Source organism: Homo sapiens, chromosome 8, assembly GCF_000001405.40.
Source record: "Homo sapiens chromosome 8, GRCh38.p14 Primary Assembly".
In the NCBI taxonomy this organism is placed as follows: Eukaryota; Metazoa; Chordata; class Mammalia; order Primates; family Hominidae; genus Homo; species Homo sapiens.
The window spans coordinates 76,944,478-76,967,826 of record NC_000008.11 but is presented as its reverse complement, the minus strand read 5'-3'; the positions used below and the strand labels follow the sequence as shown (position 1 = coordinate 76,967,826).

Sequence of the window (23,349 nt, the reverse complement as noted above, 5' to 3'; positions counted from 1 at the left end):
AGTGATAGATTTTCAAGATAACCAGTTTGGTTCTGAAGCTGGTCCTTATTTACTCCTCTGCCTTCCATTGCAGCTCTGGTTACCCACGTATTTCCTTTAATGAGTTAAGTAAGTAATGCCCATGGACTTGGTCTCTGCAGGGCCACTCCTATGCAGAGGTCTCCGCTTGTGTTTTAGAGGTATAAATATCTGCCCTTAGCTCTGCCATGGTTCCTGGCATTTAATCATCAATTGAAAGTAGTATGTCTATAAGGGCAGAGCATTATCTATAACGTAAATTCCATGCAATGTGCTGCCTTCTGTTGTGGATTTCCTGCCAGCACCAGTCAGAGATTAGAGGCAGCTGGAGTGGGAGAAAGGTGGCTCGGACACATACATCCGTAAACTATAGAACCACCAATCAAAATCTATTCTATTTCCTCATCTCCCTAACCACTAATTATTTTTTACACATTACCTCTTTTTACTTACTATCCTCTAAATTCATGTTCATTTTATTTTTATTATTTTTTTTAGAGGCGGGGGTCTTGCCATGTTACAGAGGCTGGTCTTGAACTCCTGGCCTTAAGCAATCCGCCTCGGCCTCCCAAAGTGCTGGGACTATAAGTGTGAGCCACTGCATCTGGCCCTCTAAGTTCATTGTAAACTGGCTTCTCCTTTATACAAGCTAAAACTTAAGACCACATGAATGATTAAGCCTAGCCTCCCTCCTCATTCAGCCAAATGATTAGTGAACACTTTTTTCAATATTTTTTTTTCAGTATGTTGGGCATTAAGAATCCAAAGATTAGAGTCTACCAAAGGAAAAGGCAATGGGAGTAAATAGACAAAGTGCTTGGAGAGCATTGAGAAATGAGTGATTTATTTCATCAGAGACCTGTAGAGGCCTTCCAGGGACAAAGATATTTCGGTTTAGTCTTGAGGTATGTAGGATATCTTCAGGTAAAGAAATTTAAAAAGGACATCAAAATGGGATATACATACATGTACACACACATGTCATCCACACACATACATATATATATGTTTGTATGGATATGTGTGTGTATGTGTGTGTATACACAGAACCGACAGATTTCCTCATGTCTGAAAACAATAACATTTAAGAATATCTTAAGAGTATATAAGTTCTTGAGATTTAACACCTGAGCCCCTAACATCCAAGTTTAGATGAGTAGTCATTCATTCAACAGATAATCATCAAGGACTCACAGTCTGCCAGACACTGCTAGGTAAGCATCAAGGATGCAAAGACAGTAAATACAGGACATGTTTTCTGCCCTTAAGAAACTCACAGTTTCCCTGAAAACTAGTTAATCACTATGGAAAACAGGGTCCCGTGAGAAAAGAATTTTATGCAAGAACAAGGTGAAGATGGAGTCATAACATAAGACATCCTTTAGGAAAGAAAGCCCAGGCTGGTAATCCCAAATTGAGATTTTTCCAGGGCCACTAGGAAAGGCTAAGGATGCCTTGGAAGAAAAAGGGAAACAAAACTAGAGAAAAGGCTGTTGAAAGAGGACAGACCAAGTAGCAAACAAATTTTGGCCGAAATGAACCAAAAATTCATCATTCTACCAGGTGGCTGGTACCCTTTTAGAACTTTTTATTCTGAGATGTGTTATAAGCCACTCTTTACAAAAGAGGCAACTAAGTAATTTTCCCAAGGTTACATACACAGCAAGGGTGAGAACTAAGGTCTTTCTGATGCAAAATCTACCCTCTTTCTACAACACCCAATCGCCCTTCAATTTTATCTCACAATTGCTACCAGAGGCTCATTGTTTAACTGGCTTGTCCATACCCTCTGCAATACACTGCTTTCAACAAAAATCAGAATTGTGTCAAAAAAATTTCAAAAAAAGGTCATGCATATGGAACTACCACTTAAAGTAGGGGCGATATGAGAATAGAAACCAACTAGAATGTCCTGAGTAGATATAATTGAGAAATAGGAGAGATATAGTATATTCTTGAGATACTTGGATACTTGAGAGGAAAAGCCCTTGTCCAGACTTTCTTTGACTCAAGAAAGGGAGAATAGTGATTCAGAAAGGGAAGAGTTATTATTGTTTTCTCAGGACTCAACATTGTGCCTCATCCATGGTCATACTCAATAATTACTTGTTGAATGACTAGAAGAATGAATATCAAGGGAAAGGGAAAACACTGGAGATGCTAATTTTAACTTACATATTGGCAAAGCTACTTTCTGGTGGTGATTTTTTAATAAAAATACCAAGTATTGTTGAGAGTATAGAGAAGCTAGCATCTTCTTAAACTACTGTATCAGTGTAAATTTTTTTGGAGAGCAGATTGGTTATATGCATCAGCAGCTTTAGAAAATGCCTCCTTTTTCACAAGAAATTATAGTTCTATAATTTAATACTACTAATAGAGGGATTTATTTACCAGGATGTGCATCTCTATTTACTATGGTGAAAATTGCCAACAACCAAAAATCTCTCAAAGGAGATACACTAAATAAACCATGCTGTAAAAACATGTAGTTTTTCTTATCTATTATTTAGTAAAAAGTAAAAGTTGGTTATAAACAGAATGTACAATATCATCCTGTTTTCCTAAATACAGAATATGTATATTTTTATAGTTATATAAGTCTATTACAAAAGACTAGATAAATTTGTAGTAAAAATGTTGGCAATAGCCATCTATGGGAGATATAGGTAATTTTTATTCCGTTCTATGTGATTGTATGTATTCTCCAAATCTTCTACAATAGATATATAATTATTTTATAAAAGGAAAAAGGATCAGGCTGGTGGCTCAGGACTATAATCACAGCATTTGGGGAGACCAAGGTGATAGGAATGCTTGAGGCCAGGAGTTCCAGGCCTGCCTGGATAACATAGTCAGACCATGTCTCTACAAAAAAATAAAAATAATTAGCTGGGTATGGTGGTGAATGCTTATAGTCCAAGCTACTTGGGAGGCTGAGGCAGGAAGATTGCTTGAACCTGAGAATTTGAGCAAGACCCTGCCTCAAAAACAAAACAAAACAGAAACAAAAATTCAAAAACAAAAATTAAAAAAAAACATAAAAATGTAAAAGCAAGCAACAAAATGAGAAAAATATTTTCAAATTATATAAAAGGTAAAGAGTTAATGTACTTAATTCCCACCTATCTACTAAAAAATAATGAGCCCAAATACAAGAAAAAACAATCCTCAGAAAAAAAGAAATGAAAATGGCTAATGGACTTATAAAAATATGTTCTACTTGGCCAGCAATGAAAGAGAAATGGTGATTAGAACAAATTAGAATAAAAATGTACTATATGAATATGAATATTTATTGTTGTTGAAAGCCCAGTAATGATATACTTGGGGAAAGCAGTTTTCCATTATGAATGAAGAGCCTTAAACAACTCACAGCTTTTGACCCAAGATTTCTACTTCTCAGAATCTATCATAGTAAAGCATTCAGAAATGGGGACAATGAATTAAACATATATGTATATTAAAAAGTGATATGCACTCCTAGGGTTTACATATGTATATGTTAAAGGTATTTATGGAATAAATCCTAGGAAAGCTTAAGTTGAGTCACTTGAGGTGTTTTGACTGAGACTGAAAATTAAGGAAGATAACTTCTGCATGTTGACATACAATACTTTCAACTGAGTAACAATAATAATATCCTAAATTCAAGTACGGTTGGTGTACCATAAAGATGTACATTTCTAGTCATTTAAAAAATGTTACTTGAATTGAAATGTCGTTTTTTTTAGTTAGCTTGTTAGATAAAGCCAACAAGGAAATAAAAAAAAAAAAACAATGAAGAAAAGGGTATTGTGTTTGTTGTTATTGCTGTTGCTGCTACGGTTTTTATCTTAAGTGCCTGTCACATGGTAACATTCTATAAATGAATATTGATGAATGGACTTCCTACAAATTAAACGTGAGTCCTTCTTTTCAAATAGTAAGGTGTTTGAGTTTCACTGAGTTCATTGTACCACCGATTTTTCCAGTGTTTATTTTCCTCTATTTCTTACAATTCTGATTAAACTGCTATCACCAGAAATAGGTATTTGTATACATATTTGCTAGACTCAATGTTCTACTTGGCTAAAAACACCAACTCTTAGATATTCTGATCTGTCAGAAACTGTTTCTAATCTTCAGTGAGGGCTATGGTTTGGAAGGTAGAGTATGTTCCAAGATGCTCAGCAACCTCTTGAACCAGGAAACAGGATCTTTATCTTCCTGACCTTCTATTTATCTTTTGAAAAGACAGAAGCAATAACATTAGCTATGTAACTAACCTGCTAGCTCAGGTTCCTCTTTGTCCTTCTTAGTGGGCTCTTTCCATTTTTCTGTTTTCTTTCAGCATTCTCTATTGCTGAAGTATTTGGGGGAAAAAAACTGTTCTATTAACTTACATTGTTTACAGAAAAAAGTTTATTTTCTTTAAATTAGTTGGCCAAGTTAACATTCAGTGAAAACAAGGTATTTGATGTTTATTATTCTTACTTTCTTGTTTCAGTGAAATATAGATACTTTATACTTGTACACTTATTAACAAAGTCAGGTCCTGACTGAAGACCTCCGTTTTGAAATAGAAATGATGTCCTAGCTCTAAAGTACATCCAATCAAAGCAATTGAGTTCGAAGCACAAAACAACACTAGCGATTTCATTATCTACGTTAGAAAATATGGGAATGCAGGCACATAATCTAGCCAAAGACTAATCAGGATTTCATCCACAACTCTTCATACTAAAATAATCTATCAAGTAGGATTTTTAGGCTAAAGCTATCTGATACCTATGTAAAATCACAGTCAACTGTAGTAAACATTATACTGATATGCAAATATAAAAAATTAAGTGTTTCCTGAGGTTCTTCTACTCTTTTCCTGAATCTTTGTAGTTCAAGGATTATTCCTTTTACAAAAACCAAATGAAGCTCTTCTTCTTCCGTTCCATAGTCAGCTCTTATCTGTGATCATATATTTACTGGCCACAGTGCTTATTTGGTAAGTAATCATAAAATCACAGGCTTGAAAGTACTTTTTTAAAGAATACCTCTATAAAACCTTTATTAATTGGGTATTCAGACTCCATTTTATTACTTTCAGTAACTGAATTCACAGTCTCCCAAGAAAAAATCAGTCATGCTTTTGAGATGTTTTATTTACTTAAAGTGTTTACCTGTCATTTCAAAATAGTTGTCTACTGGTTATAATTCTGTCCTGTAAAGCCATTAGAAAAAGTAGAATATTCCTTCCTCAAGAGAGTTTTTTATATATTTGAAGTAAAACACAGCAGGATTGTCTTCCTTTACTCATGTCCAGTCAGTCACCTCTAGCACCAACCATACACCCATGCTGCAATGGAAGCTGGGTCAAGGAGCGGCATTGGAGCTGAAATTCAGGCTGCACTCTATGTGCCAAGTGTTGGACCCCAACACTGGGACTGTATCCACCCATAGAAGAAGGTGTCTTTTTATAATTTTCATGAAGGTACTTCCATTTGGTCCACTCGTCATGCTTTTTATCTATGCGATTTAGTTTATCTCAAGAAGGAACCTTCCGCTTATTGAGACAAAGTTGTCACCTGAGTTTAGGGGACCTGTGTTCTTTACATGACATGATTTCTAATCTCCCCTCTCTGGTTGCTTCCTAAATTTTTCCATTGTTATCCATATGCCAACATCACTATCTTCTCAACGATCGATTTTTTCTTAATCTAGTTGTTCCTAAATGATATATATTGTTATGCAATAAATTATACTGTAGCACCATTTTTATTATCCTATGATTCTAGTCTTCAATAGCTCTTGTCTAATTACTTTATCAAAGCTGAACTTTTGGACCTGGCTTTCAATGACTTATAGATTGGATCTATCTTACTTGAAAATGTAACCCGAAGGGTTCAAAACTTAACTGATTATCGTTATCCCCCAAACCGCCTCTTTACTATGTTCTTTTAATTGTCCCACCATCTATTTAGTTACAATGAAAGAAAAGCTGTAATTATTTCTTGACTTCCCCTCCTCCCTCACTCTTGTGTTCAGTTGGTCCCCCATTTCTGCAATTCTACATTTGCATTGCCTTATATACCCTTTCTACTCACTACTCTTCATTTTTACCTCCCTGCCCTAGTTTCGACTATAATACTCCCTAACTTCTTTGCCTCCTATCGAGACACACAATGTATCTCTAACAATGCTGCTTGCTATTGAAATTTTAAATTAATCAGGCCTTGCCAATAAAGACATGCCTGAGACTGGGTAATTTATAAAGAAAGAGGTTTCATTCACTCACAGTTCCACATGGCTAGGGAGGCCTCACAATCATGGTGGAAGGCAAAGGCGGAACAAAGTCAGGTCTTACATGGTGGCAGGGAAGAGAGCATGTGTAGGGGAGGGAACTCCCCTTTATAAAACCATCAGGTATCATTAGACTTATTCACTATCACAAGAACAGCGTAGGAAAGATCCACCCCTATGATTCAATTACCTCCCACTGGGTATCTCCCGTGACATGTGAGAATTATGGGAGCTACAATTCAAGATGAGATTTGGGTGGGGACACAGCAAAAACCATATCAGGCCTCTACACTGTTTTAAAGGTTCTTTGATGGTTTCCTATTTAAGTAAAAGGAAAAATGCCTTATTCGTTTGGCATGGCTTCAAGAACCTTTTATTCTTTCTCCCATTTGCTCTCCACAAAGGAAACACTATAGACTTCCAGGGTTTGTGTGTGTGTGTGTGCTTCAGATGATTCCCACTTCTTTATAACTCTGATGCTTCCCACTTCTTTGCAAATGTCAGGAGCTAACATGGCTCCAACAACCTATTATCTTTGTTTCTAGTTCATGTCAATTTTCTGTGGTCTTAAATACTAATCATTCTTCATAATCGAGGTAGAAACTAGTAGTTTGGATTTATTTATTGTGAATCAAATACATTCCCTAAAGATGGCACTTTAAATTTCACCATGATTTCTGATAGTTTTTCTATTCTTAAAAGTGTGATATAAATTTATCATTTCCACTCTTAGTAGACTCTGCCTTGTTGTAAAGTACAGCAGCACATTTGATTACAATATTATTTATACCTTTTGCTCATTGTCTGGCACTTAGTGAATTTAATATACTTTCAAACTGTAAGAACTTTAATATTCCTGCTCTGCAAGTCCACAGATTGTGGAATCTTCATATAAGAGCATGACCACATTTACTGAAACATTTACTCATCATTTTCCCCCATACTAAGTAACATGAGAGGATTTGAACCTATGAAGAAGCTACTTCTAAATGTGTCTTATATTTTCTTTTGCTATGTTATGTTGAAACATCAAGATGTTTTAATGCAAAAAAAAAGTTTAATGTAACTTCTTATCAGCAGAAAGCTTGCTTGGCTCCTTATCATCAAGCCTTTCTGATTTTTCAAGTAGAGACAGGGTAGATAAAAAGCCTCCTAAAGGTTTAAAATAATTTGAAACCCAAAGATGGAAGGTTGGGCTGAGACAGATCTAAATCTAAAATACACTAAGGTATCCAGACTTCCTACATTTTCAAAAGTGGTAGAGATCTGCTGTCTCTCTTTAAGCTTAATACCCTCTTGCTTGAGTAACATATTACTTAAAAATAAATAATAAAGAACAACCTCTCTTACAAGGAGCTTAAGTATATGAGTTAATTGAAAGGTCAATATATAACTGGCTTCGAGTTTATCCCAAAAGATTCAAACCTCAAGGAGGAAGAGCAACTGGACAGATCATAGTTCCTGGGGATGCACCACAGCCATGCTGCTCCAGGAGGCCACAGATATGAATTGAAAGGTAGGGAACCTAGAGTGAAGAAGACAGTGCATGAAAATAAAACAGGACAAGGCAGTCTGTGACATCACAGATCCAGAAGAAAAGAAACACAGTCACTTTAAAATTAGTATCTCATTTCTTTGTTCTTTCTATGAAGTGAATTATTAATATTAACATTGTTTGAATAGTATTTGCTGCATTTTGAAAAAGACAAGTCTCTAGAGTTGGTGCCCATTATTACCAATCAATGAGGAGAAGGGTGAGATATTAGTTGTCTAAGGAGAGAGTGGAACCATCTCATTGTGATTAGTCTGAACCACAGCCCCAAAGTCTTTAGGAATTTAATTCAGTCCATCTGTTTTCATGGCAAGCATTTCTTACCTTATCTGAACTCTAGCAGTCTCCAAAGTGTGTTTTTCAAACTACAGATCATAGCCCCCTAGGATTGATTAATCAATTTAGTAGGTTGAGACAAGCTATTTTGAAAACAAATAAAATAAAAGTAAGTAAAAGGTAAAATAAATGTCCTCACTCATGTAAAGGGTAATGTATTAGTCAGAATAGGCTAACCTATACTTGATATCTAAATGTCTTTAACACAATAAAAATTTCCTTCTCATATGTGCAAAGCCAATGCAGGTTAGATGAGCCCCCTCAGTCTTGCAACTTCACAACATGGAATGAGTGGTCTCCAAGACAGCATGCTACCTGCAGCAGTGAAGAGAGAGGTTCAGAGCCACACAAGCTGTATTTAAGAGGCAGGCCTGGAAGTGGCTTGTATCACTGCTGCCCATATCCCATGGGCCAGTACTTGGTTGTGTGGATCCAATCTAACCGTAAGGAAGGCTGCACAATGCAGTCCTCTTGTGCATACGGAAGAGGAAGTGGAATTGGAATTTAGACCAAGGCACTGTCATTACACCCATTCTTCATTGAGTTGAACATATATAAACTTCTGTAGAAGAGATAAGTCAGCTATTTTAACAAATACCTAACCTTTCCTGAAACAGCAGAAATTTTATTTTATTTTTCTTCTGAAAAGAAGATACTATCTGTCACCAATGGGGCAAAAACTAAAGTTTATTTTTTAGGTATTTGGATTTTCCTATCAAGTTGATTAAACTGACATGTATTGAACACCTGCTGAGTGTACCAAGCCCCATGGAAAAATCAAAGATGGATGAGATAGCAGTTCTACCTGTTTCCCTATCATCCCTTTCTATACCATCATTATTTATCCAACTGTGTGCTCCCTCTGAGCTATCCCACAAGGCCCCAGATAGCCACACTTGGAGACTTTTTCCCCAAAAATTGGAAATATGCAAAATTTCCCCAGTCTGAGAAAAATTGTTACCTTATTGTGAAGAATTCCAGTTCTAGTAAAGAATAACCAGTGGACAAGACTACTTGTCCAGGCTTCTGACTTCTTTTGCTCAGACTCCCTCCATGGATTCTGTATCCATTGTCCCTTAATCCTAAAGTCTTGGTGCCTGCTTCTGACTAGATGATGCTATGAACTGAACTGTGCCCCCTCCCATTCATATATTGAAGCCCAAGTTCCCAATGGGACTTTATTTGGAGATAGGGATTGTAGGTGGTAATTACAGTTAAATGAGGTCATAAGGGTGAAGTCCTAACCTGATGGGATTGGTGGCTTTCTAAGAGGAAGAGATCTTTCTTTCTCTCCACTCTCTACGAACTGAGGGAATACCGTGTGAGGACACAGTGAGAAGGTGTCCATCTGCAAGCCAGAAAGAGCCCTCTCACTAGGACCTGAGGGTGCAGGCACTCTGATATCAGATTTCCAGCCTCTAGAAATATGAGAAAAATGTCTAGTACAGTACTTAACACCACCTAGTCTGTGGTATTTTGTTTAATGGCAGCCTGAGCAGACTAAGACAGATGCTTACCTTAGGCAGTCAATAATAGGATATACAAGGATTAAGTGTCTCCTTCACTGTGCAGTTTCTTTTGCCTATCCAAGCTGAGTTCATTATTCCTATTTTTCATGCTATAGTCATTGTTTGTGTACACATTCTCTTGTGTATTAAAATGTAAGTTCCTGAAGAGTGGGAACTAATTCAAAGATAATCCTTCATGGTGAGAACACATGAGATAAATATGGAATGCTGTATCAAGGTCACAAAAAAGTGTCATTTAGTAAGTATTGTGTTGGTGTTTTATGCAAGTTATCTATCTTAATACCTAAACTAACCCTAAGAGGCAAACATTATTATCCACATTTCACAAATGAGAAAACAGGCTCACTAGGTCTCTGATGTCATATTGTAAGTAATCAGTGGAACTGAGATTTGAACCAATCCGTATTGGACTCCAAAGCACATTTTCTTTTTATATTGTATTATAAGCCTCCCCTCTTTTCTTTCCCTCTATCTTACCTACCTTTTGGACTTGCTTTCAGAACCCTAGCTCAGCCTTAACCACTGAATCATCTCTACCCTTTACCTACTTCTATGCTTTCCACCATCTCTGTCCCCTAAACCTATTTGACTTTCCTTGTCCCAGGTCCTTAACACATTGGTATCTACATTATTGGAGCTGATACTTTGATTAAAACAATGCAATATTGTACTACTGAGTGCCTCTATATTTAATTATTTAACAATTACTTTCCTTACTGTGCTAGTCATGATAATATACTAATGAATCAACTTAATTAAATAAAAATATGTTTGTTCTGTTTCTTTTGAAAAATATAATCTGATTCTCTTCTTCATTATAGTTACTGCTACACAAATTACAAGCTAAATTATTTGTTAAATTGCTTAAATCCATTGGGTTTATTCTATCAGGAGTGGAAATATTTGTCATCACAAGTCTTTAATTACTTTTCCCACTCATAGTAGGCATTTACAAGTGACATATGATATGAATTTCTTAAATTAAATTATTGCAAACAAAAGAACAGCAAAACATTAGGTTCCTTAAAAGTCAAAAATATTTTGATTATTCAGACAATAAGCAGCAATATAAATAGATTAATAAAATTAAGCATGATTCATATTCATTCTCTGGTGCAATTGATCCACTAAAACATGATGCCATTCTAAAGTTTAAAGAGCCCTTGTAGCTGAAGGCTTAAATATGTCATTTTAAAACAAGTGTATCGTTTAGATTTAATTGACTGTCCTCAAAGTATATGGCTTTAAAATATTTATGAGTGATTTTTGGTTATGTGCAACCCACAGCAATCCAGATTAAAAATAATACTGGTAATAACCCATAATATTGTTTTCAAAACAATTACTTTCCTAATCACTGGTAATGTTTATCTTATTCTTTGGGTTACTATCTTCATTAAATAAAAGATCTCCAAGTTTTACCTCAAAGATAGTCCCACTACAGGGTTTTAAATAAGTGAAAGCCCGTTATAAAAACCATGGGCGCTAGACATTATAAATGGAAGCTGCCATTGCAATTAATTTTTGCTCAATTCTGGATTTTAGGGTTCTTTTCATACTCTGAGATTAAAGATTTTGTGGAGAAAAGAATCAAAATCCCAAAGTGGGCCAAAATGCCCTATAAGATACAAATACTTTATTTGAATATGCCAAAAGAAAAGCTCTAACTACAGTATAATATTACATAGGTGTTAGCCTGGATCCATTGATTCTGGTGTTAAAAATTAAGAAAAAGAGAATGTGTATAAAAGGATTGGCATAATTATTGACTTCTATGTAGTTTTTATAAGGGTTGTTAGTCCTGCGCCAGTTGCCCCTTAATTGTTCAGCAAGGTCTCGAGTGGCCTTCTGCTCCACCTCTGTATTCCCAAGCAGTGCAATCTAATTGCAAATAATGGCTAACCATGAATCATGTAAATTTCATTCCATGGAAAGCCACATGGAAACTTCCACCACTAGGAATACCATTCACTCCAGTTATCAGATATTCTAGGTTATTTGCACCACTGCTCTTGTTCAGTCATTCATTGTGTATCTTTTGCATGTCTGCCAGTAGCTGCTATGTTTAGCATGAGAAAAACAAAGTGAGAAGACAGAGTTCCCCCACTTAATGCACATAAAGGATAGTAAACAGTTGTTCAATGTGTCAGGAATTATTGTGTTTTAATTCTCACAACAACTGCCTTATAATGTAGATATCACCATTTTAGAGATGGGGACAATCGCAACAATAAACCTGAGACTCCGAGAGGTTAAGTGTTAAGCCAAAGGTCACAGAGCTAATAGGTTATGGAACTTATGTTCACGTGAAAGGTAGTTCGATCTCATTTCAAACCTATGGTCCTTTTATTATTGACTTCTGTGTTCTCCATCAATTTAAATATACAAAAGCTTAATGCATTTATTTTGTTTGTAAGTCTTCCCTAAATCATCCTCATTCTTTATTCTTAAAGTTGACATTCTCCTGTCTAGAATGCTGTTTTTAATACATTTGATTTCTTTAACAAAAATAATATTTAAAATATATTAGGTACTAAAATATCATACAGGGACTTGTGCAATAAGTAAGTTTTACTTCCCCAACATGCAGAGAGAATAGGTCCACAGAGAACGCCTCTGCAGGAGCCCATTCTCTAGGCCAGTCATGACAACGAAGCAGCCTTTGATGAGAAAGAGTGTGGTCAGGAAGAAGCATGGCTTGAAAAAGAGCCAGAGAGGACTCTCAGTCATTCTAGAATTTGAGGAGTGATTTTTAACACGCCAGGAAGAAGTGAGTCAATAAGGAAGAATGTAAATCAAAAGGGTACGTGTAAAAGGAAAAACACAGTCACTTTTATGTAAATTGAAAGATCTGCTTTTGCCAGGAGGAAATTCTGGGAAAGATCTCTTCTGCACCTCAGCAAAACGCAGGCAAGTTCCCGTCTGTTTCCTTCCCTCTGTCAGGAACAATTTTCCCAAACAAGTGGGGCATACAGGACTAGAATGGAAATGGAATGGATTGGAACTCATTCGTGCTATGAAATCACAGAAGGTTCAGAGAGGCAGGGTTTTTTTTCTTGTCTGGTTCCTGTTTCTGTCTTTTTTCCTTTCTTTTGAGCAGTTTTCAAGAGGTCATATGAGCCGGGCTCTACCCTGAGGCTAAGACTAAGTCATTTCTAGAATATTTCTAGATTGAAAAAGTAGACTGGAAGCCAAAAGTTAATCATTTTTATTTTGTCAATCTCCTATGGCAATAAAAATAAACTTCATTTTGTTATTTTTAAAATTTTTTTAATTACAAAAAGCAATGGGTTTGTGGAATTTTATTAATATAAAAATACAGTGTTAATTTTAGTTTATAAAATTTTAAGGACTAATTGTCAAACTGATGTTTCATATTTTTCATATTACATCATTTCTATTTTAACACATTTCTGAAATGTATGGATGATTTATTTTTTAAGTGTCATACCTTCTCTCATAAACTTACATGGCAATATAAGACTCCAAATTTATATTGCCATGTAAGTTTATGAGAGAAGGTATGACACTTAAAAAATAAATCATCCATACATTTTCAGAAATTCAAGAAGCCTTTGTCAGTATCCCCCTAGACATTTTCAATCTTTTCCCTAAAATCCCCATTCTTTGGTCAGTAAATTACTTTAATGCCTTAATTTATTCCCACAGTGGTCCCAATGTTAGTTTTATCTTGCTGGTCTAACAAATTACCACAAACGTAGTGGCTTAAAACCACATAAATCTATTATCTTACAGTTCTTAAGTCAGAAGTCCTGTATGAGTCTCACCAGGCTAAAATCAAAGTATTGGCAGGTTGTGTTCCTGTCTGGAGGTTCTAGGGAGATCTGTGTCCTCCTCATTTGTCTATGAGCAGAATTCGGTTTTTCACAGTTGCAGGATTAGAGCTGTGTTTTCTTGCTGACTGGCAATGGGGACCTTTAGCTCCTAGAAGCTTCTTTCTGGTCGTTGCTCATGGTCGTATGTCTCAGAATCAGGGTGTTAGACCCTTCTCACGTTGCCATCTCTCACTGACCACAGCTATAAGAAGCTCTCATGTTTTAAGGCCTCAATATGATTAGATTGGGTCCACCAAGATAATCCAGGATAATTTCCCTGCTTTAAAATCCTTAAACATAATCACATCTGCTAAGTCCCTTTTGCCTTGTAAAATAACATATTCACAGATCCTGGGGATTAGGGATTGGGAGTATTAGGATATTTGAGGGAGCCATTTTTCTGCCTACTACAGCTCCTCCTCCACCATAATGGAAGTCTGGGCTTCTTCAGATGATCTACCTTTCCCAGTAACTCTCTCAAATTGAGGTGGATCACTACCCCAAATTTATAATTTAAAAGCTACACATTAGGTTCCATATTCACTACTGGGGTGATGGGTACACTAAAATCTCAGAATTCACTGCTATATAATTCATCCATCTAACAAAAAAACCATTTGTACCCTAAAAGCTATTAAAATAATTTTAAAAAGAGTACAAATGGAAACTGACAAACCATCTTTTCAAATATCTTAAAATTACAAATCCAGTTAACAAACTGTTAAATAAAATGTCAGTTCTGTTCTGAAAAATATGTCCTCCATAACAACCTGAAGGCAGGTTCAAATGTAAATTTCTCAGACCTCTAGGAATTCCTCTTCAGAAAGTAACAGAAGGAGAAAGCCACCCGGGCTTATCCCCTTTTCTTTCTCCTTCACATCCTTCCTCTGTCCAACACTATGCAGGGCGCCATGTGCAGGCATCTTGATAACAATGTGATTATTCCAAGCTCTCTAGTCTAGAATAAACTAGTCCTGCTTTTCCAGAAAATCTCTGACTATATTGGTTAGTCCAGCCCCTCAGTAGATAAATTACAGAAATTGAAGGAAAATTTGAATAAAGCAAAATGGAAAAAAAATTGAACAACAACAAAAAACATTACATAATATAAGATAATCATAAATACTAATGAAACAGTACTTGTACAGTACATGTGTACAAGTCATGGACTCTCTAAGATGGCAGAGCAAATCTTAGGACTTGGAGATATTTCAGTTCAAATTATTTCTCTGCTTTATATTGGACAAATCACTTTACCTCTTTTAGCCTCAATTCTCTTATCTATAAAATGGTGATAAGAGTATACCTGATAACTTATGATAAAAATCTATGACAGTTTGAAGATAAAACAGAAAAATAAACATGTAAAAGTGGTTGGCACAGTACACACAGTAAGTATTCAATAAAAACTCTCATTATTAAATACTGAATTTAAACAAAGTTAAATTTTATACTAATCAATTTATGTCACACCTAAAACCGAATGACAGAAAAAGGTGAAAAATTAAAGCATTATGAAAGATATTAAGACAAAAGCATCAAACCAAAAAAGCCAATATCAATAATCACCAAATTAGAAGTGAAGACAAATAATGATTAGGACAAAGGAGAACCGTAATCTGATTTTCACTTTAAAAGTGTAAATGTGGCTACTAGGTTGACAATAGGTTGTGGTGAAACAGAATGAGATGACAAATTTATTTCTCTCCCATATGAAAAAATAAATCCAGAGGTGAGCATCCCAAGTCTGGTCTGGAGGTCTCATAAGACATTAGAGACCCAAGTTCCTTCTGCTAACCCTCTGCAATACAATCCTTTGAACATTGATGACATTCTCAAAATCACAAGATGGCTACTGAATCTCTGGCCATTACATCCATACTCCAGCAGAAGGAAGTAGGAAAGGCAAAGTTAAACTCCCTTAAAAGCCCATCTGGAAGTCTCACCCTCCACCTTCTATTTACAATTCATTGGTCAGGACATTGTGACATGGTCACACTTACCTTGAAAGGAGACTGGGAAATGCAGTTTTCAAAAAAGACATATTGCTGTCCAAATTAATATCAGGATTCTGTTATTTAGTTTAAAAGTTGAGCCTGAGTATTGGGTAAGCAACTAACAGCTACTGCTACAAATCCTAGGCCCAATAGAAACATATTTGGAGGGGAATATGCTTTTATAGATTTAAGAAATGACACAGAAAACAAAAAAGAATAAAATTAATAAATCTAAAAGCTTGCTTTTTTATTTACTTTTTTTGTAAAAACATTGGTGATCTTTTATTTTAATTTTTATTTTAGGTTTGTGGGTACATGTGAACATTTGTTACATAGATAAACAGGTGTCATGAGGGTTTGTTGTACATATTATTACATCACCTGGGCATTAAGGCCAGTACTCAATAGTTATCTTTTCTGCTCCTCTCCCTCTTCCCACCCTCCACCTTCAATTAGTCTCCAGTGTCTAAAGTTGTTTCCTTCTTTGTGTTCATAAGTTCTTATTATTTAGCTCCCACTTGTAAATGAGAATATACAGTATTTGATTTTATATTTCTACATTAGTTTCCTAAGGATGATAGCCTCCAGCTTCATCCATGTTTCCACAAAAGACATTATCTCATTATTTGTTATGGCTGCATAATATTCCATGGTGTATATGTACCACATTGTCTTTATCCAGTTTGTCAATGATTCATATTTAGGTTGATTCCATGTCTTTGCCATTGTGAATAGTTCTGCAATGAACATACATGTGCACGTGTCTTTATAATATAATGATTTATATTCCTCTGGGTATATACTCAGTAATGGGATTGCTGGGTTGAATGATAGTTCTGCTTTTAGCTCTTTGAAGAATCACCATACTGCTTTCCACAATGGTTGAAGTAATTTTACTCCCAGTAACAATGTATAAGTGTTCACTTTTCTCTGCAACCTCACCAGCATCTGTTATTTTTTGATAGCCATTGTGACTGGTGTCAGATGGTATCTCATTGTGGTTTTGATTTGCATTTCTCTAATGATCAGTGATATTGAGCTTTTTTTAAATATGCTTCTTGGCCGCATGTATGTCTTCTTTTGAAAGTGTCTGTTCATGTTCTTTCCCCATGAGGGCATTTGTTTTTCTCTTGTAAATTTGTTGAAGTTCCTTATAGAGGCTGAATATTAGAGCTTTGTCAGAAGCATAGTTTGCAAGTATTTTCTCCCATTCTGTAGGTTGTCTGTTTACTCTATTGATAGTTTCTTGTGCTGTGCAGAGGCTCTTAAGTTTATTTAGATCCCATCTGTCAATTTTTGCTTTTGTTGCAATTGTTTTTAGTGCCTTTGTCATGAAATCTTTGCCCGCTGCTAGGTCCAGGATGGTATTGCCTAGCTTCTCTTCCAGGGTTTTTATAGTTTTGGGTTTTATATTTAAGTCTTTGATCTATCTTAAGTCAGTTTTTGTTTATGGTGAGAGGTAGGAGTCCAGTTTCATTCCCTGCATATGGTTCATCAATTTTTCCAGCACCATTTATTGAGTAGAGAGTTCTTTTTTTATTCCTTGTTTTTGTTGACTTTGTTGAAGATCAGATGGCTGTAGGTGTGCAGCTCTATTTCTGGGTTCTCTATTCTGTTCCATTGTTCTATGTGTCTGTTTTTGTACCAGTACCATGCTGTTTCGGTTACTGTAACCCCGCATTATAATTTGAATAAAGTAATGTGATGCCTCCAGCTTATTCTTTTTGTTTAGGATTGCCTTGGCTATTGGGGCCCTTTTTTGGTTCATATGAATTTTAAAATAGTTTTTTCTAGTTCTGTGAAGAATGCCATTGGTAATTTGATAGGAATAGTGTTGAATCTATAAATTCCTTTGGTCAATATGTCCATTTTAATGATATTGATTCTTCCTATCCATGAGCATGGGATGTTTTTCTTTTTTTGTGTTTTCTCTGGTTTCTTTGAGCAGTGTTTTGTAATTCTCATTGTAGAGATCTTTCACCTTTCTGTTTAGCTGTATTCCCAGGTATTTTATTCTTTTTGTGGTAATTGCGAATGGAATTTTCTTCCTGACTTGACTCTCGGCTTGGCTGCTGTTGGTATAGAAATGCTAGTGATTTTTGTACATTGATTTTGTATCCTGAAACTTTGCTAAAGTCATAGCTGAAAGAGCTTTAAGGCCAAGACTAAGGGGTTTTCTAGATATGGAATCACGTCGTCTGCAAACAAGGATAGTTTGACTTGCTGTCTTCCTACTTGGGTGTGCTTTATTTCTTTTTCTTCATAGAAACAGATTTTTTAAAAGTATAAGTGAATGTTATATATAAAATTATATAATAATAATTTTGAAAATCTTGAAATTCTTGATACCCATAGAAAATTAAAGTTTCCAAAACTGACTCAAGAAGAGAAAATCTGAATAAATCAATAAATATGAAATTTAAAATCCTGTTAAAGAAATTTTTTTCAAAAGTTACCCATCCACTCTATTTTACAGTTGAATTATTCAAAGCTTTCAAGAAAAAGATAAATTCTATTTTTAAAAGTTGTTCTGAGCCAGGAGGGGTCGCTCACACCTGTAATCCCCGCACTTTGGGAAGCCAAAGTGGGCAGATCACTTGAGCCCAGGAGTTCAAGACCAGCCTAGGCAACATGGCAAAATCTCATCTCTATAAAAAATACAAAAAAATTTAGCCAGGCATGGTGGGGCATGCCTGTAGTCCCAGCTACCCGGGAGGCTGATGTAGGAGCATCACCTGAGTCCCGGGAGGTTGAGGCTGCAGTGAACCATGATTGTGCCACTGCACTCAAGCCTGGGCATCCGAGTGAGATCCTATCAGGAAAAAAAAAATTCCATAAAATTAAAAAGGGAAAAACCTACAGTTAATATAAATAATAAACAAAACAATTAAATTACCCTGTTAACAAACCCTGGCAAAAGATACTGACAAAAAATAGAACGATTTCTTTTATGAAAATAGATGTAAATTCTAAAATGAAATAATGGCAAATAAACCCAGCACTACATAAAAAAGGGGGTGTAACTATGATTTACTGTTAGGAATCAATATACTGTTGACACTTGAACATCGAAGGTCAGATGCCAACCCCTGCAATAGTCAGAAATCTGTATATAACTTTTGACTTCTTAAAAACTTAACTATAATAGCTTACTGTTAACCAGAAGCCCCACCAATAGCACAGTTTATTTATTTATTTATTTATTGAGACAGAGTCTCGCTCTGTCGCCAGGCTGGAGTGCAATGGCGCAATCTCGGCTCACTGCAACCTCTGCCTCCTGGGTTCAAGTGATTCTCCTGCCTCAGCCTCCTGAATAGCTGGGACTACAGGCACGCGGCACTATGCCCAGCTAATTTTTGTATTTTTAGTAGAGATGGGGTTTCACCATGTTGGCCAAGATGGTCTTGACCTCTTGACCTTGTGATCTGTCAGCCTCGGCCTCCCAAAGTGCTGGGATTACAAGCGTGAGCCACTGCGCCTGGCTAATAGCACAGTTCATTAACATGTATTTTGTATGTTATATGTATTATATACTGTATTCTTAAACTAGAGAAAAATTTCATTAAGAAAATCATAAGAAAGAGAAAATATATTTACTATTCATCAAGTGGAAGTGAATCATCATAAATGTTTTCATCCTCATGGTCTTCAGGTTGAGTGGGCTGAGGACTGGGAGGAAAACAAGGGGTTGGTGTTGCTGTCTCAAAGGTGGCAGAGGAGAAAGAAGTAGAGGAAGCAGAAGGGGAGACAGGAGAGGCAAGTACACTTTGTGTAACATTACAGAAATACATTGTATTTTCTGTCTGACTATTTGCTTTTTAATTTCTCTCAAAATGTTTCTATATGTTACCAATCCTTCTTTTACTAGTTGCTTTAGTTTAAGTGCTTGTATCATAAAAGGGCCCCTGTCATAAAAGAAATCAAAAGGAGTCCTTAATAATCAAAACTCTTCTACCAGATTGTCTAATGTCAATCTATTTTCTGGCACGGCTTCTTCAACAATTTTTCCTCATTGTCTGGCACTGGTTTGGAAGCACTCATCTCCAGATCAAATCGTCTTCTGTTAATTCCTCTGGTGTGGCATCTGTTGGCTCTTGAATTTCTCAAGATCCATATCTTGAAATCCTTTAAACCCCACTTTTTTTTTTTCCATATCCACAGTCTCTTTCATGATTTCCTTGATTGGCTGTGTTTTAAATCCTGTGAATTCATGCATAACATGACAAAGCATTGATGAAACCCCTCCAGAAAAGCATTCTCATTGTTCATGCCTTCCTGTTGCACAACCAAAAGACTGGCAGCTAGTATTTATAATTTTTCTTCAAGGCTTGAGAGTTAGCAGGTTCATAGATAAGGGCAGTCCTGATTCTAAGCCTGACTGCATTTGCACAAAACAGTAGGGTTAGCCTATTCCTTCCTGCCTTAAATCCTAATGCTCACTTTTATTTCTTATTATTAAGTGCTTTGTTTTTTGGCTTTTTCACCCCAGAATAGAGCACTTTCGTCTGCATTAAAAACCTGTTCAGTCTTCCTAATTTATCTCCTGCCTCTTGGTCGCAGAAGCTACTTCTCCTGTTATCTTGAAATTTTTAAAGTCCTACCTCTTTCTAAAATTATCAAACCATACTTTGCTGGAATTAAATTCTCCAAATTTTAATCCTCTACCTTCCTTTTGCTTTAAGTTGCCATATAATAACTTTTTCTCAAATTATATTAAAGTCTACGGTTATAACTTTCTTATAGAAATCCTGCATCCACGGAAAAGCTGCACTTTCTTTTTGTTTATTATTATAATTTAAGTTTTAGGGTACATGTGCACAATGTGCAGTTTTGTCACATATGTATACATGTGCCATGTTGGTGTGCTGCACCCATTAACTCGTCATTTAACATTAGGAGGGATAGCATTAGGATAGCATTAGGAAAAGCTGCACTTTCAATACAAGATAAAAAGGTATTTCACCAAAATTGCAAGGTTTTTATGCCTATTGGTGTAGCTGCAGTGACTGCTTAATAAATTTTCTTTTCTTTTTTCTTTCTTTTTTTTTTAACAACAGTTCTTAGACCGGATTCATTTATCTTGAAATTCTGGATAACCACAGTGGGAGACTCCATCTATGGCACATATCAAGCAATTCACCTTTTTCTTGTAATGTCATGACTTTTCTCTGCTTCTTAGGAGCATTTCCAGCATTACTAGTCACACTTCATATGGGTCACATGGTGATATTCAGGATATATATTATTGCACTAAACACAATGAAAAATATGCAAGAACAACAAAATATCTCTTTTTATTGTGATACACAATTTACTGGAGAGATACACTGGTCAGGTGGAGATGATTAGTGTCCCATGGTGTTTTAGGCAGAAACTTATAACACTTGAGCTCATTGCAAAAGCAACAGGAGGTGGCTACAAAATTATTACGGTTAATGTACTACAGTTAATTTTATGCAATTATGATTTAGTACTGCATCTTTATATTTGCTTTCATATCTCTCAACTATGAATGATGCCACATACAGTCTATGTTTGTGTGCATAAATTTTGGTAAGTTTAATTTTTGTAATATTTTGTATATTTTAATGTAATATTTTGTATATTTTATGGTAGCAAACGATAACACAGACAAATATCTATGTACATTTTCTGCATTCATAACATACCTAACTTTTTCATTAATTATTTCTAGGCTACATAATTCATCTGTAAATTTTTTCAAATTATCACAAATCTGCAAAAATATTTTAATATATTTATTGGAAAATATCTGCATATTAGTGGATGTGTGCAGTTCAAACCCAGGTTGTTCAAGGGTCAACTGTAATTAATTCTTTTAATAGGTCACAAGAATAAAATCAAAGATCATTTTAATAGATGACCTAAAAGTAACTGATAAATTTAGTATCCACTTATATTAAAGATAACACTTTTAGCAAAAAGGAATAATTTATTAACAATATAAATATTTATGGCATCTTAATAACTGTCATGCTTAGTGCTGCAATAGACAGTAATTCCATTTGCAGTTGAAAATAAGGCAAGGACTGAGCACCCAAATTGGCCATCGACCCTACCTCCTCTGTGGCAGAGCCACCATAGGCTCAAGTTCCCCCCAAGGTGATGAAGATCAGCCCACAAAGTGCCCATTATTGCTGGCTATGCTGCCGCATACAACTGTGTCCCTCAGAAACTGAAGACAAACCTGCTTAGCATATATTCCAGCCATCAACACAGTTTCTGTAACAGTAGAGCTACTGTGCCAGTTGCATGCCCACTGATGGCTCAAAAACTGGCCTGCCCTTAGCAAAGTCATGCTGTTGTCTCCAAAACCATTTTAGACCATAGAGTTACTCTAATGTTGATAGCAGCCAAAGAAATCACACAGAGACTGTGCTACTGCACCCATCCAGAACCAAAGCCAGAGCATCCTATGCAACTCATAATATAGGACACATTTACAGGAAAAATCTTTCTCTACAAAAACTACTCTGTAAAATTGGAGGGAGTGACTGTTCCACCAGATATGCAGATATGAATATAAAAACACAAGAAACATGAAAAAATGAGACAACATGACACCTCCAAAAAAACACAATAATTCTTCAGAAACAGACCCCAAAGAAAAGGAAATCTAATGCCAAAGAAGGAATTCAAAATAGTGATTCTAAGGAAACTCAGTAAGATGCAAGAGAAGAGATGGACAATTTAACAAAATTAAGAATACAATTCATGATCAGAGTGAGAAATTAACAGAGATATATTATCAAAAAGCACGAAACAAATTTTTGAGCTGAGTAATTTTATGAATGAAAAAAATACAATAAAGAGCTTCAGCAACAGACTAGATGAAGCAGAAGAAATAATTTATGAACTTGAAGGCAAGTCTTTTGAAACAAACTAGTAACAAAATAAATTTCCTTTTTCTGTAATAACAAAAAAGAAAAAATAAGAATAAAAAAAGAAATGAAAACAGTTTCTTGGAATTATATGACACCCTTAGCCAAACAAATGTTTACATTATGGGAGTTTCAAAAGGAGAAAAGATGAAAAAAGTCAGAGAAAACCTATTTAATTTAATCAAAATAATAGCTGAAACCTTCCCAATCTTGAAAACAATAGGAACATCCAGATCCAGGAAGCTCAAAGGTCTTGAAATAGACTCAACCCAAAAAGGGTCTCCTTAAGACACATTAAAAGCAAAATTTGAAAGTCAAAAACAGAAAAACATGTCAAGTCAAATGTAAGAGAATCTTCAATAGATTAACAGCAGATTTCTCAGCAGAAAGCTTACAGACCAGGAGATAGTGAGATGATATATTTAAGGTCCTATAAGACAAATAAAAACAAAACTGTCCATCAAGAATACTATGCCCAGTAGATCTATCCTTCAGAAATGAAGAAGAAATAAAATCTTTTCCAGACAAGCAAAAACAACGATTTAATCACCAGTAAACTGTTCTTATGAGAAGTACTAAAGGAAATACATGTGGAAGCAAAAGGTAATAGCTACTGTCTTAGTCGATTTTTGCATTACTATGAAGGAACAACCGAGGCTGGATGATTTATTTTTTTTAAAAAATGGTTTACTTTGCTCAGGTTCTGCATACTGTGCAAGAACTGGTACTGGCATCTGCTTCTGATAAGGACCTCAGAAGGCTTCCAATCATGGCAGAAGGTGAAGGAGGAGCAGTTGTGTCACATAGTAAGAGAGGGTGCAAGACAAAGAAAGGAGGATGATGTTGGACTTTTTGTAATGATTATATCTCATGAGAACTAATAAAGCAAGAACTCACCCATTT

General features: G+C 35.6%; 1 non-coding gene across 1 annotated transcript; it reads left to right on the top strand.

Moving 5' to 3' along the window:
- Positions 1 to 976: 976 nt before the first annotated feature.
- On the top strand, positions 977 to 1,059 carry MIR3149 (microRNA 3149). The gene has a single exon (NR_130460.1). It is a non-coding gene; the product is annotated as a microRNA 3149 (primary transcript).
- Positions 1,060 to 23,349: the final 22,290 nt, after the last annotated feature.